The sequence below is a fragment of the Homo sapiens genome, chromosome 8, assembly GCF_000001405.40.
Source record: "Homo sapiens chromosome 8, GRCh38.p14 Primary Assembly".
NCBI classification, from domain to species: domain Eukaryota; kingdom Metazoa; phylum Chordata; class Mammalia; order Primates; family Hominidae; genus Homo; species Homo sapiens.
Genome location: NC_000008.11, coordinates 53,815,544 through 53,830,707, shown reverse-complemented (window position 1 = coordinate 53,830,707; position 15,164 = coordinate 53,815,544). Strand labels below are relative to the sequence as shown.

At 36.7% G+C, this 15,164-nt stretch overlaps 1 protein-coding gene across 4 annotated transcripts in view; it reads left to right on the top strand.

Annotated features, from left to right (window-relative positions):
* The window catches only part of ATP6V1H (ATPase H+ transporting V1 subunit H), a 127,703-nt gene that overhangs the window by 12,538 nt on the left and 100,001 nt on the right, over positions 1-15,164 (top strand). For all 4 annotated transcript variants that reach the window (NM_213619.3, NM_015941.4, XM_006716455.4 and 1 more), the window contains exons 4-5: positions 1,175-1,264; positions 13,178-13,291. In NM_213619.3, coding sequence (NP_998784.1) covers positions 1,175-1,264; positions 13,178-13,291 — 204 coding nt within the window. The remainder of the gene's footprint in view (positions 1-1,174; positions 1,265-13,177; positions 13,292-15,164) is intronic.

The following is a 15,164-nucleotide window of genomic DNA, read 5'->3' as shown; positions in this document are numbered from 1 at the left end:
GCAAAAACAGTTCTTTCTTAATAGCAGTGTCTGGTGTGATGGGCCTTTTATGGGGCAGTTGCCAGGAAGCTTTTTATCCAAACAAAATGGCAGTATATCTGAAAAAGAGTTCTGACAGAAATACCGTGGGCAACTTATATCTTTTTTTTTTTAATTTTGCTTAAATAGGTTAAAGTGTTTCCACTTTAGTGTTTTGATTAAAAAACCCAACTATTTGTTACTGTTAACTGTTTACATTCAGTATGGTGAGTGGGCTGTCTATCCATGGAAGACATGATTCATAGGTAGGCGTAAGTTCTAGGATAAGTATGATTTTGATAAGGTCTCCATTTTTTTATAGCATGGTTTTTATCACATGCTGTTTGTTACATTGGGGATTTATTGAATGAGTGAATACCAAGTGAAATACACTTTAATTTATACATCCTTAAGGTGGGGAAGTTTTTCAATGTATGACTCCAAACCTATTACTGAATGCTGTTGCATACTTAAAACTATGTTTTTTGGGGGGTGATTTAAGGGATTTTATAGAGTGTTTTGATTTGTACCCTATTTGATTTATATGCTGAGTTTAGAACTTGGCCCCATAATAAGGTTCAATTCTGCTGCCTATCGGGGGGCCTCATTGGCTGAAGGAGCCCATATACAAATTGGTCTGATTCTTACAACAGTCATGGGGAAGTTGGTAGGTAATATATTGTTGGCTGCAGTTTTTATTGAATTATGGAGAGGTTGTCATGTAGTTGATACACTGTAGAATGGAGACTAGTCAGGGCCTTCTGATTCCAATCTCTGGTACTCTTGTTGCTCTTGTCTTCTGTTCCCTTTAAGTACAACAAATAAAATACTCAAAACCAATTGTAATTTTTGATTGCCTATATAACTTTATGCCGTCGTCGGTAATCAAGAGTTATTAGTGGCTAAGTATATCTATTTAAAAATAGTAAACATTCTGAAACTTATCACTAGAAATGTTCACAAGCTGATACAAGCCATAGTAAGGTCCTCTCATACTTCATCACAATATTTATAAAAGGTATATGTTTTCTGTAAGTAAAATTTGTTAGTAATATTTGTATCCTAATTTATGAAAGAGAGACAATGTTTTACTGAAGTTCCATTGAAATGTGTCTGCAAATAAAAACAATAACTTTAATTTCATTTTTTTTTTTAGTGTGCTAAAACATTTATAAATCTGATGACTCATATCTGCAAAGAACAGACCGTTCAGTATATACTAACTATGGTGGATGATATGCTGCAGGTAGGTATATTCTTTACTTAACACATTTGGTGACTTCATTTTTTTGCATACCTCACAGTAGCAGCATTTTTGGTGAGATTTCACTTAGAACATTTGTTCTCTTCTAGAGCATAATAATATATTTTTCTCATTTATGTGGGTTGTAATTTGCTAATAGAGCTAAAGACAGAGATACCCACACACAGGCTGTTTTTGTTTTTCAGAACACCAAGTAATCAATATGTATATTTTTCTGAGATACCTCAGAGTTTTTTGTTGAACGCCAGCAAAGCTTGCTGTATCACCTGAGGCTTTCTGGATGCTCTGTGTACTTATGGATGATATGGCTCCTTCTCATTCAATCAGTCAACACATTTCAGTGCTCATATGTTCTAGGCCAGTGCCGGGCCCTGGAGGTTCGGTGCTTTTGTTCCTTTTGGGAACAGTTTTGCTTATCATCGAAAACGTTTCCAGTTGCATACAGTTTCTGTTTACTGCGTTACCATCCCTGAACCCAATTATGAATAAAGGAGAGGCCTCCTTTATTCATATTTATGTATTTTACACTAGAGTATAATCTAGGCTTAGATGGTTGGTATGTAGAGCAGTTCTTATGAGATCGGCCTTCCAGCTGCTGAGTGTCTCAGGAGACTTGAAGGAAAGAGTCAGTCTGGGTGTTTAGGGAGGGTTGTTCTATTAACTTATAAGGAAAAAAACATTTATTGATGGCCTAATTTTCACCAAGCACTGTACTATTATTGATAATACAAAGGTTGGGCAGAATGGTGCTGTCTTCCTAGGGGTCATCATGTCCTTTATAGGAATCTAGTGATTTTATAATGTGAGGAAGGATCAATATCAGGACTGTCTTGAGAATGACCTCAGTCTCTCTGAGCACTTTTTCATGTAAAACAGTAAAGTTTAGAAAAATGTGAATGTTATGATCTGCCATGGTTATCTTGTTACTGTATGGGACTGTACCTAGAATGAGGGAGCTGTGAGTCGGCATGCGGACCGTGGTTGCTCATATCCTTAATTACTGTCCATATGCTCATATCTATAAATTAACACCATGACATGCTGGTAGCTCCCATTACATTTCAGCGCAGCACCACAGGGTTCTTTGTCTCTCCTTTCCGTATGTGTACCTCTTCTGTAACAGTGAGATTGTGAGTTCCTCTTATCCTCAGTGTGTTTACTTGTTTGTTCTACCCTAAAATACACAGAAAATAGTTTCAGAGTTGTGGACCCATACAACTCAATTATCGAGGAAAGCAGTGTGGTGATTCTTCAAAGAGCTAAAAACAGAACTACCATTTGACCCAGCAATCCCATTGTTGGGTAGATACTCAAAGGAATAGAAATCGTCCTACTGTAAAGACCACACACACGTGTTTGTTCGTTGCAGCGCCATTCACATTAGCAAAGACATGGAATCAATCTAAATGCCCATCAATGGCAGATTGGATAAAGAAAACGTACATATACTCCATGGAATACTATACGGCCATAAAACAGAATGAGAGCATGTCCTTTGCAGGAACATGGATGGAGCTGGAGGTCTTTATCCTTAGTAAACTAACACAGGAACTGAACACCAAATACCACATGTTTTCAATTATAAGTGGGAGCTAAATGATGAGAACACATGGACACAAAGAGGGGAACTGCAGAAGCTGGGGTCTACTCAAGGGTGGAGGGTGGGGGGAGAGAGAGGATCAGAAAAAAATAACTATTGGGTACTAGGCTTAGTACCTGGATTATGAAATAATCTGTACAACATACCCCCTTGACATGAGTTTACCAATATAACACACCGGCACATGTACCCCTGAACCTAAAATACGAGTTGAAAAAAACACATACACACAAAAAACAAGTCTTTTACCTGGAGTTCAGTATTTGTTTGCAGTTTTTTGTTTTAAACTCAGGGTATATAGTCAGAATACTGTGTTCAAGTTTCAGAGTGATTATTTTTCATGAAATACTGTAAGAGTCATTTGTTTCTGTTGTATTCTATTTTAGTTTTTTCCTCATCCTTGTGCATTTCATTATTATTATTTTTATTTTATTTATTTTTTTGAGACAGGATCTTGCTCTGTTACCCATGCTGGAGTGTAGTGGCGTGATCTCGGCTCGCTGCAACCTCTGCCCCCTGGGTTCAAGTGATTCTCCTGCCTCAGCCTCCCGAGAAACTGGGATTACAGGTGCCTGTCACCATGCCTGGCTAATTTTTGTGTTTTTAGTAGAGACGAGGTTTCACCATGTTGGCCAGGCTGGTCTCAAAACTCCTGACCTTAGGTGATCTGCCCACCTCGGCCTCCCAAAGTGCTGGGATTACAGGAGTGAGCCACCATGCCCAGCCTGCATTTTATTTTTGAGTATGTAAAACATTAACATGTTTCCAAAAGTCAAAACTATGCAGAAAGGTATACTCAGAGAAATGTCACTAATCCTAGCCCATTCCCACCTCCCTCTCGTAGGTGACCAATATCATAGTTTTTTTTTTTTTTGAGACAGAATTCCGTTCTGTCCTCCAGGCTGGAGTGCAGTGGTGCAACCCCCGCTCACCGCAACCTCTGCCTCCTGGGTTCAAGCAATTCTCCTGCCTCTGCCTCCAGAGTAACTGGGATACAGGCACCCGGCATCATTCCTGGCTAATTTTTATATTTTTTTTTTTAGTAGAGACGGGGTTTTACCATGTTGGCGAAGGTGGTCTTGAACTCCTGACCTTAAGTGATCTGCCTGCCTCGGCCTCCCAAAGTGCTGGGATTACAAGTGTGAGCCACTGCGCTCAGCCCAATATCATTGGTTTTTAATTTTTTTTTTCTGTGAACATAGACAGGCAGACACATGTATATTTTTTTATTTCCCCCTCTTATTTCTATAAAACACTTATTAGATATAATCTCTTATTTTTTGCTTGTTTCACTTAACAGAATATGCCAGAAATCATTACGTGTCAGTTCATAGAGATCTCATCTCCCTGTTCTGTTTTTGACAGCTACATGGTACCCCATTAGTGGATGTACCATAGTTCACTCAGCCTCTGATGTAATGATGGACATTGTGGTTGGTTCCAAATTTTAGAATTAGAAATCATGAAGCAAAGAATAACCTTGTGCAAATATATTTTTGTGTTGTTGGGTGTATATTTCATGGTAAATTCTTAGAAATGGGATTGCTGGATAAGAGGTAACTCCATATGTAGTTTTTTTTGTTAAGATATTGCCAGACATTCCATTTTGCATTTTCATCAGCAGGGTGTGAGTGCCTGGTTCCCTGTAACCTTCTCAACAGAGGGCATTGTCAAGCTGTTACATTTTTGCCTATCAGAATGGTGTCCGAGGTTGAACATCTTTAGATGACCTTAAAGGTTGCTTTTACATTTTTTTCCCTGAATTATTTGCTCATGTCTTTGCCCATTTTAAGGAGTTCTTTATATATTAGGCATATATCTCTGAACAAAGTGCAAATATTTTCTCCCAGTTTGTTATTTACCTTTTTGTCTTAGCTTATAACATTTTTCACAGGGTAAAACAATTTATTTTTATTTTTTATATAGTCTAATTTATAAAAAAAAATTTTTTTAATCTAGATTTTGAGTAATAGAAAGCTTTTCCTTATACCCAAGTTTACAGTGGAATTCACCAAGGTTTTTTTCTAGTGCTTGTATAGTTTCATCTTTAGTTAGACATTTGGCCTGCTTAGAGTTGGTTCTTGTCTATAGTGTAAGGTATGTGTCTAATTTTATGTTTTCCAAATGGCCATTCAGTTGTTCTAGCACCATTTATTAAAATGTCAGTCTTTGCCATAGTGGTTGGAGATGCTGCCTTTAACATCAAACCTCCCTATATAACTAGATTTATTTCTGTACCTTTTATACTTTGCTTCTGGAATGCCTGTGTATTCATGCTCCAGCACCACCCAGTTTAATGATAGAGGATCTTATGGCTAGTTCCCTTCGCAGTTTTTTTTTTCCCCCAGTATTTACCTAGGTTTTCTTGAATGTTGTTTTTTTTGTATGAAATGGAATGTCAGCTTATTTGATCTATGAAAAAGTTTGTTGGTGTTTTTACTAAGTTGTGTTAAATCTGTAAGTTACTATTTAAAAAAAAAAATCAAAACAAGGCCTGGCAGTAGCTCATGCCTGTAATCCTAGCACCTTGGGAGGCTGAGGTGGGAGGATCGCTTGAAGCCAGGAGTTTGAAACCAGCCTGGGCAACATAGTGAGACCCTGTCTCTATTTAAAAAACTAATAATAAATTTATAAGTTAACTTAGGGAGAAATGACATCATTATATTACTGAATTTTTCTGTCCAAGGACAAGGTATACCTTTCCGTTTGTTAGGTGTGTCTGCGTCTTCAGGAGTGTTGTAATTTTCACATAATGGTTTTGCAACATTTCTTGTTAAGTTTATACCTTCATATTTTATCTTAATTATACTGTTAAAAACAGCATTTCTCTTCCATTTTATCTCTGAACTTTTGTTTGTTAATGTATATGAAAGTCATTGATCTCTGTATATTTTCTGTTTTGGTACCTTAGTGAATTCTTTTATTTGAATTAATTTTGTGATTGAATTTTTCTCTAATTTATAAAAGTTGTAAATTATAAATTTTAATTAAAATTTTATAATTTTCTATTTTTGCAAAAACAGATAATTTTACTTCTTTTTCAATTCTTATGGGTTATAAAACAGATAATTTCACTTTTTTAATTCTTATGGCTTATAAGAACTTGTCAATTCTTAGTTTTTGAGTGCTATTATTAAGAATAGGTGTTGAGTTTTGTCAAAGGCTGTTATTTTCTGGGCATCTACATAGATAATTGAATGACTTTTTTTCCCCTCTCCTTAGATATATCAATATAGTGAATTATAGTAATGGATTTTATAATACTGAACCAACCTTGCATTCGAGGTTAAATCCCACTTGGTCATGTTGTCATATTTTCTTGATATGATATTGAATTCTCTTTTCTGTTATGTAGGATTTTTGCCTCAGTGTTCATATGTGTAATTGGTTTACAATTTTATTTTATTTTTTGTTTTCTTCATTTGGTTTAGGTATCAGCATTATACTTGCTTGATAAAAAGGATTTGGAGGTTTTTCTTTATTTGCTATGCTTTGCAACAATTTATTTAGCATTAGGACTACAAGGGCTAAGTTTTGGTAAAATTCCCTTGTGAATACATCTGAACCTGTTGTTTTTGGTGGGGTAATTATTTGATAGCTTTCTCTATGTCTTCTACAGAAATTGTTCATTTGAAGCTTTCTATCTCAAATGGTGGTAATTTTGGTAATCTGTATTTTCTCTGGAAATTATTGTATTGAAGCTTTTACATTTACTTTCATAGAAGACTAATCTTATTAAATCTTATGCTTCAAATTTTTTTCTCTATTTGCATATTATGTCCCCCATGTCATTTCTTAGTTTATTTGTGCTTTCTGCTTTTTTTTTTTCTTGATTAACCAGTGTTTCTCCCCCATTTTGTTAATTTTTTTCAGAGTCAGGATTTTCATATTAATTGATCTATAGTTTTTCTCTTCTCTACCTTAATTTCTGCTTTTGCCTTTATTATATTCTTCCTTTACTCTTTTTTGTTGTTTACTTTGTTCTTTTACTAGCATTTTGAACTGGGAATTTTAATTTATTTCCATTCTTCTATTAACAAGAAATAAATATTGGCCAGGCATGGTGGCTCATGCCTGTAATCCCAGCACTTTGGGAGTCCGAGGTGGGTGGTTCATGAGGTCAAGAGTTTGAGACCAGCCTGGCCAACATGGTGAAACCCCATCTCAACTGAAAATAAAAAATTAGCCAGGTGTGGTGGCGCATGCCTATAATCCCAGCTACTGGGAGGCTGAGGCAGGAGAATCACTTGAACCTGAGAGGTGGAGGTTGCAGTGAGCTGAGATTGTGCCATTGCACTGCAGCCTGGGCAGAAAGAGTGAAACTATCTCCCCCGCCCCCCCAAAAATTAAGTATTTAAATATATGCATTTTCCTTTGATTACTGCTTAAAGTATATCCTTCAGCTCTGATATGTAGTGATTTAGGTTTTTCTTAATCCAGTTTCTGCGTTCCCTTTCACAGAGGGTTGTTTAATATTTATGTTTTAATTTTCAGGCAGAAATGCTTAAAACATTTTGTTATAGATTTCAAAATATCATGTTTTAAAAACATTTCTACTTTATAGAATTTACTGATACTTTTTTTATAGTATATGATCAATTTTATAAATATACCAGGTGTCCTTGAGAAGATGTATTCTTTCTTAAGGGGTATAAGTTTGATTTATATTTATCAGATCTACTTTATTGATTATGTTATTATTTAGGATACAGGTTTTCTATACCTTTACTTTTTGTCTACTTTTTTCTCGGTCTGGTTTTTTTTGTACTAAGAGTGGTATGTTAAACGTCTCCCCCTTATAAATGCATTTTTTACTTTTCTAATATCTTTTGTACTTTTCACTTTATAAAGGTGGATGCTGTATTTGGTGCATATATACACATTAGTGTTATATCTACAGTGAATTGTGGCATTTATCATTAAAAGTGTCCCTTTTATCATACTTAATACATTTTGGCTTAAATTATACTTTAATACTGGTATAGCAACTCATGGCTTCTTGTTGTTTCTGATTGTCTGCATATCTTTGCCTGTCCCTTTTTTAGGTGAATCATTTTGTTTTAGGTAAGTCTTTTGTATACAGTATAGATTCGGGTCTTGTTTGTGAGTTGAAACCCCTTTTTTTAATAGGTGAATTAAACCATCCACATTTATGAATATTACTAAGAAATTTGATCTCAACTGTCATACTGTGTTATGATTACTGTGTGCATTACTATTTTATTCTTCATTATGTGTTTTGTTTGCATTTTTATTAAACTTTTTTGGCATTTAGGAAGTTTTCTGTCTGTTCTGTTGGTTATCTTTGTATTTATATCCCTTTAATGCTGTTAATCCCCTGTTTTATTCATTTATAATTTCACTTGTCATTTTTAATAGTATTTTTTTATTTGCAACAGTCAATGAACTTATTCTACTTTTCCTCTCTTCTCATTTTTTAGTGGCTATTTTTTACTTTGTCAGAACATATAACATTTATATATTATTATTCTACACTTGTTCCCACCTTTGTTTTGTTATATTAAATTTTCACCACTGGTTCTTTTGCCAAAGTTTTCCCAGGGATCTCTTAATTAGATGAAGCTTATCTGCTAGTAGGTTCCTCAGGAATGTCTTATGTGTACAGTAGTCTCTAAATTTTTGCATTAAAATTTTTTCCTGTAATCTTCATACTTGAAGAGCAGCTTGGCTGATAGAGGATCTCTGATTCACAGTTCTTTGACTTTTGAGTCTGTTCTCTGTTGAACACCTTATAATTTAGTTTTACTTTTTGAGACCATTTTGCTCTTTTCTTTCATTTCTTTCTTGAACTCAATCAGCTATTTTTAAATTTTCCTTTATTAGGGGCAGATTTCTCAGTTTTGGTTTTGAATTTCTGATTCAAGGTGGTATTTTATTTTTCCAGATGTTTGAGGATATTTAATTCAGTTTGCATTGTTACGTTACAGTTTTGTTTTGCAGTTGTTTTCTTGGGAGAGGAATTTCATCACCTGAGATATTTTGATTTGCATCTTTTGGTTTCTTTTTATGGTAGTTTTGTATCTGTGTGGGGTTCTTTCATCTATTCATATCATGGATTTGGGTGGTTTATAATACTCCTCACTCAAGAGTACCATTTTTTTTTCTTCTTTTTTTCTTTGATGCATGGTCTCACTTTGTTGCCTCGGCTAGAGTTCAGTGGTACGATCTCAGCTCATTGCAACCTCCACCTCCCAAGTTCAAGTGATTCTCATGCCTCAGCCTCCAGAGTAGTAGTAGCTGGTATTACAGGCGTGTGCCGCCGTGCCCAGCTAATTTTCGTATTTTTAGTAGAGATGGGATTTCGCCATGTTGCCCAGGCTGGTCTCGAAATACTGGCCTCAAGAAATCTGCCTGCCTTGGCTCCCAGAATTCTGAGATTCAGGTGTGAGCCATCGCACCTGGACTCTCTCTCTCTCTTTTTTTTTTTTTTTTGAGATGGAGTCTTGCTCCATTGGCCAGGCTGGAGTGTAGTGGCATGATCTCTGCCCACTGCAACCTCCACCTCCCGGGTTCAAATGAGTCTCCTGCCTCAGCCTCCTGAGTAGCTGGGACTACAGGCATGCACCACCATACCCAGCTAATTTTGTTGTATTTTTAGTAGAGATGGAGTTTTACCATGTTGGTCAGGGTGGTCTCAAACTCATGACCTCAAATGATCCACCTGCCTCGGCCTCCCAAAGTGCTGGAATTACAGGCGTGAGCTACTGCACCTGGCCTCTCTCTCTTTTTTTTTTTTCTGGTGAGATGCAGTTTGTTTGTTTTATTCTCTTTCTCTCCTGTTCCTTCCTTTCTTTTCTTTTTTCTTTTTCTTTTTTTTTTTTTTGAGACAGAGTTTTGCTCTTGTCATCCAGGCTGGAGTGCAGTGGCACAGTCTTGGCTCACTGCAACCTCTGCCTCCTGGGCTCAAGCAATCCTCCTGCCTCAGCCTCCTGAGTAGTGGGATTACAAGCGTGTGCTACCACGCCTGGCTAATTTTTGTTTTTTTAGTAGAGACAGGGTTTCATCACATTGGCCAAGCTGGTCTAGAACTCCTGACCTCAGGTGATCTGCCAGCCTTGGCCTCCCAAAGTTGTGGGATTACAGGTGTGAGCCACTGCACCTGGCCTCTTTTGTTTTCTTTTCTTTTTTTTTTTTTTTTGAGATAAAATCTCACTCTGTCACCTAGGCTGGAATGCAATGGCGCCATTATAGCTCACTGTAACCTCAAACTCTTGGGTTCAAACGATCCTCGCACCTCAGCATCTTGAGTAGCTGGAACTACAGGCGCTTACCACCACATCTTGCTAATTAAAAAAATTTTTTAATTGTAGAGATTAGGGTCTCATTATATGCCAAGGCTGGCAGTTTCTTTAATAGATGACTTTCTTTTGGTGGGGGGCAGATTGTATGCCCTTGGATTTTTTTTTTTGGTCTCATTTTGTCTTGCAGAACCCTAAAGTTTCCTCTTTTGTTCCTTTTTCTTTTTGCCACCCAATCTCCTAAAGATGCTTCTTCTTCTTCTTCTTCTTTTTTTTTAAACCTTATTATCTCTCAAAAATGATGCCTTTCCAAGACTGCTCCCTGCTCCCTGTAGCTCGTGCTCTGGTCTACCAGTACTCTTTTTCAGTTTCTTCATAGTTAGAGTTTATTTTATTTTATGGTGGCGATTGTAGATCCACCTTAGAACTTCTTCCTTCCTGTGCCCATATCCTTCCTTCTACACACATTTTTCAGATGCACTTTATCATCCACAAAAGCTTGTGATGGAGTATGAGAGATAGCTTTTGTTGGGATTTGGTGTTTCTTTTATTATGGTTAATTACAAATGTGTATTCTCTGTCTTGTTATCCTGAGGGCATGGGTTTTGTGTAGTTTTTAGTTGATCTTTTTGTCGACCTTTATTTATGAAGGATCAGTGGAGAGATTCAGATTTAGGTAGCTGGTATTATTCTCATCCACCAGTTCAATGTATGTATGTATGTATGTGTGTGTGTGTGTATATATATACACACACACACATATACTTTGTATACAAAGCATATATATATACTATGTATATACAAATGTGTGTATATATACACACACTATATACTATATATATACAAAGTATATGTATATACGTATATACATATATACATTTGTATATACATATGTATATATGTATATACGTATATACATATATACATTTGTATATACATATGTATATATGTATATACAATGTGTGTATGTGTGTGTATTTTATATATATATATATATATATATATATATATATATATATGCTTTTTTTTTTTTTTGAGATAGATTCTTGCTCTCTCACTGAGGCTGGAGTGCAGTGGCACAATCTCAGCTCACTATAACCTCCACCCACCAGGTTCAAGCGATTCTCCTGCCTCAGCTTCCGAAGTAGCTGAGACTACAGGCACATGCCGCCACACCCGGCTAATTTTTGCATTTTCAGTAGAGATGGGGTTTCACCACGTTGGCCAGGCTGGTCTCGAACTCCTGACCTCAAGTGATCTGCTTGTCTCAGCCTCCCAAAGTGCTGGGACTACAGGCGTGAGCCACTGTGCCTGGCCCAATGTATATATTTTTATTTTTTTAATTTTATTTTTGTTTTCTTGAGACAGGGTCTTGCTCTGTCACCCAGGCTAAAGTGCAGTAGTGTGATCACAGCTCACTGCAGCCTCGAACTCCTGGGCTCAAGTGATCCTCCCACCTCCGTCTCTTGAGTAGCTGGGACCATAGGCGTGTGCCACCACACCTGGCTAATTTTTTATTTTTTTGTAGAGATGGGGTATCACTATGTTGCCCAGGCTGGTCTTGAACTCCTGGGCTCAAGCAGCCCTCCCACTTGGCCTCTCAAAGTGCTGGGATTACAAGTGTGAGGCACTGCACCTGGCCCTCATTATAGTTTAGCAGTTGATTTTATTTGTAAAATTTTAGTTGCATGGAAAAGTTTATATATACCTTTATCATAATTCCTTGTGCTATTTATAATAATTTTTTTTCTATTTTTAATCCTATCATTTCATCCTTATCACTTCTGAACAAAATGCTTTTGGACAGAATTGCTTATGTTTCCTCACATGCTTAGTTTTTAGCACCTGATTTTGAGGATTAAATTGTTTTCTTTGCATGGATATCAACAGCAGTTGCTAAGTGTACCTGACCGGAAAGATTTCTTTATCCTTATTCTCTTAAAGGTCTGTAACCTGGATACCTCTACCAATGAAGCAATGATGGCTCATCTGAATTTTGGATTCCTTGATAAAATCATTATCACAACTATTTCAATTGTTATTCTAAACAATAATGACTCATTACCTAAGGAGACAGTAGGCTATTCCTTGATGGGTAATTATTAGTGTAGACCAATATTAACCAAAAAACCCCACTATATTTAAAAATAATTAAATGTTAATCTGAAAATAGGAATTTTTTGTTTATGTGGTTATTTGTGCTTTTAAAAAGTATTATGACCCACAAATCACCACTAAAGAACTTACATAACAAATACCACCTGTTCTCGAGTAACCTATGGAAATAAAATAAATAAATAAATTAATAAAAGTTTAATCAGAAAAAGTATTGCTACTGCTGATATGGTGGTGTAGTAAAAAAATTTTTAAAAAAGTATTGCTGTTTAACAACTATATTCACATAATGAATCAGAAAGTGGATCTCAGCCAGTGATAGAGAAAATTTAGATGAGAGGTGAAGTTTTAATGATTGGAACTAAGAATTTTCTCTTACTCAGATCCTATGTCCACTGGTAGTATATGCTGTTTTCTGCTGTCTTTATCCCAAGTTTTCTACCATGATATGCTAAGAAGTAACTTGAACATTTGCGATTCATTTAATTCCCTGTTTCCCTTGCCTATTTGTTAGTAGTTCGAGGTGCATCTAGACCTAATTTGTGCTCTTCCTGCTCCCTTTCCGATTTTGATTTCCCTCGTATGGCAGCCAGGTGTTCACACTTGGTTATCGGTGGTGGGTGTAGACCTGTTACATTGGGAGTAGCAGGTCAGAGGTGCAGGCCGAGAAGTGTAACTTGTAGTCTTACACTTTGTGATTTAAAATAATCATAATCATTAAAGGTGATTTTTTTAGTAAAATATCTGTGCCTACTACCATCCCTACCCCCTGCCCCGTAGTAATAATGACAGACAAATCACACATACACACACACTGAAAAAAGAACACAGACTGATGGGAGGTTGAGAAGTGGTGCACAGTCGTTACATTCTTTAGCAAAATGTGTTCTGACTGGTGATATCATTTCTTTTCTTTTTTAGGAAAATCATCAGCGTGTTAGCATTTTCTTTGACTATGCAAGATGTAGCAAGAACACTGCGTGGCCCTACTTTCTGCCAATGTTGAATCGCCAGGATCCCTTCACTGTTCATATGGTAAATTTTGAATTGATTGGATTCTTTTTTTAAAATTTTTTTAAAGAGAGAGGGTCTCACTATGTTGTCCAGGCTGGTCTTGAACTTTAGGGCTCAAGCAGTCCGCCTGCCTTGGCCTCCCAAAGTGCTGGGATTACAGGTGTGAGCCACTGCACCCAGCTGGATTTTTTTTTTTTTTTAAATACAAAGAAGAAAGGTTTTTATTTTAAAATTTTTGTTTTATTATTATTTTAAAATTGACAGATAGAATTGTGATTACATTCTCATTCAGGTAAGAAAGAAACCTGGGCCTTTTATGACATAGTAACCTGTCCGTTCCCATAGGAGTAACTACTATGACATAGCTTTCCATATTGGTGTTCAGTAGAGAAAGGACATTGGGAGTTGGAAGGAGATAGGGTTGCTCTGATGCAGTTGAGGTTTTGTAGACTACAAGGAGTGCATCAAAGCCTGTGGAGAATTCTCACATGTAAACAGCTCTACAGTGTTTGTAGTGGGGTTAACTACATTTTACTATATAGAAATTAAATTTTACTTTGAAGCAGCTACTGTGTTTCGTTTTTATTTTAAGTAGTTACCTGATTGCTTTTCAATATCTTAAATACACTCTGGTTTTTTTTTTGAGACGGGGTCTCACTCTGTTGCCAGACTGAAGTGCAGTTGTGCGATCTCGGCTTGCTGCAACCTCCGCCTCCCGGGTTCAAGCGATTCTCCTGCCTCAGCCTCCTGAGTAGCTGGGATTACAGGCATGCGCCACCACGCCCATCTAATTTTTGTATTTTTAGTAAAGACGGGATTTCACCATGTTGGCCAGGCTGGTCTTGAACTCCTGACCTTGTGATCTGCCTGCCTCGGCCTCCCAGAGTGCTGGGATTACAGGTGTGAGGCACTGCACCCGGCCTACACTCCTGTTTTAAACTTAGGCTATGTTTGGAAGCCCTAGTACTGAAGAATTTTTCATGGAATCTGAAAGCAGGGTTGAGAGAATAAACCTTTGTACAAACAAGACTTCTCTATTTCCACTGGGGAGTGGGCTACGGGTTGGGGATGGCAGGAGCTGTTGGGGGCATGTGGTAGCTCCAGAGGCTGCTTGTTTCAGTAGATGTTTTTAAAGTTTTCAAATCAAGGGCCACTGGCCGTGAAACATTTTTGAACATGTATGTTATCTTGCTCCCTCCCTCCCTCCTTCCACATGTATATGTATTCATACAGTATAGTTATATATTGTATTCATATAGTATATTTATATGTTGTGGACATTATGAAATATCTATAAAAAGAAATTAAGGAGGACTGATGAAATAAACTGTATTTTAAAGAATACTTTTCAAAAAGCCAGTAATATATTTCCTTCTTTAAAATTGTAGAGGCTTGTTTTCTTCACTGTTTGGTTTAAATGTCCTCCTAATGGTATAGCAACAAAACTGACAAATATATTAAACAAATATACACTTAGGAAATGGTTCATTATTACTGTGCAGCCAAATCCATGTTAACTTCTTGGTAATTTCATTTACTTTTGGCCAATCTTTCACATTCTGAGGGGCAGACTCCCATTGGTTTAACCATGTGCTGATAAAGAGCTTATGCTAGCTTATGCTCTTGTTCCTTTGTCTTGTGCATGCACTGCTGATAATATTTTCAATCCTTGGCCTCCTAACAGTAATCTTTTTAAGTCAGTTGTCTATTTTGTGACAGTAAGATGAGTTTAAACTAGATAATGTATTTATAAATTCATTTAGCTGGGCATGTGAAAACCTCAGCATGTCACAACTCAATGAGCAAGTAAAGGCGCCCCATTAGTCCCTATGTTGTAGAATTCCAAATACACCAGAACACTTAAGTGTCTGACATTCTGACCTTGGAAGTGTAC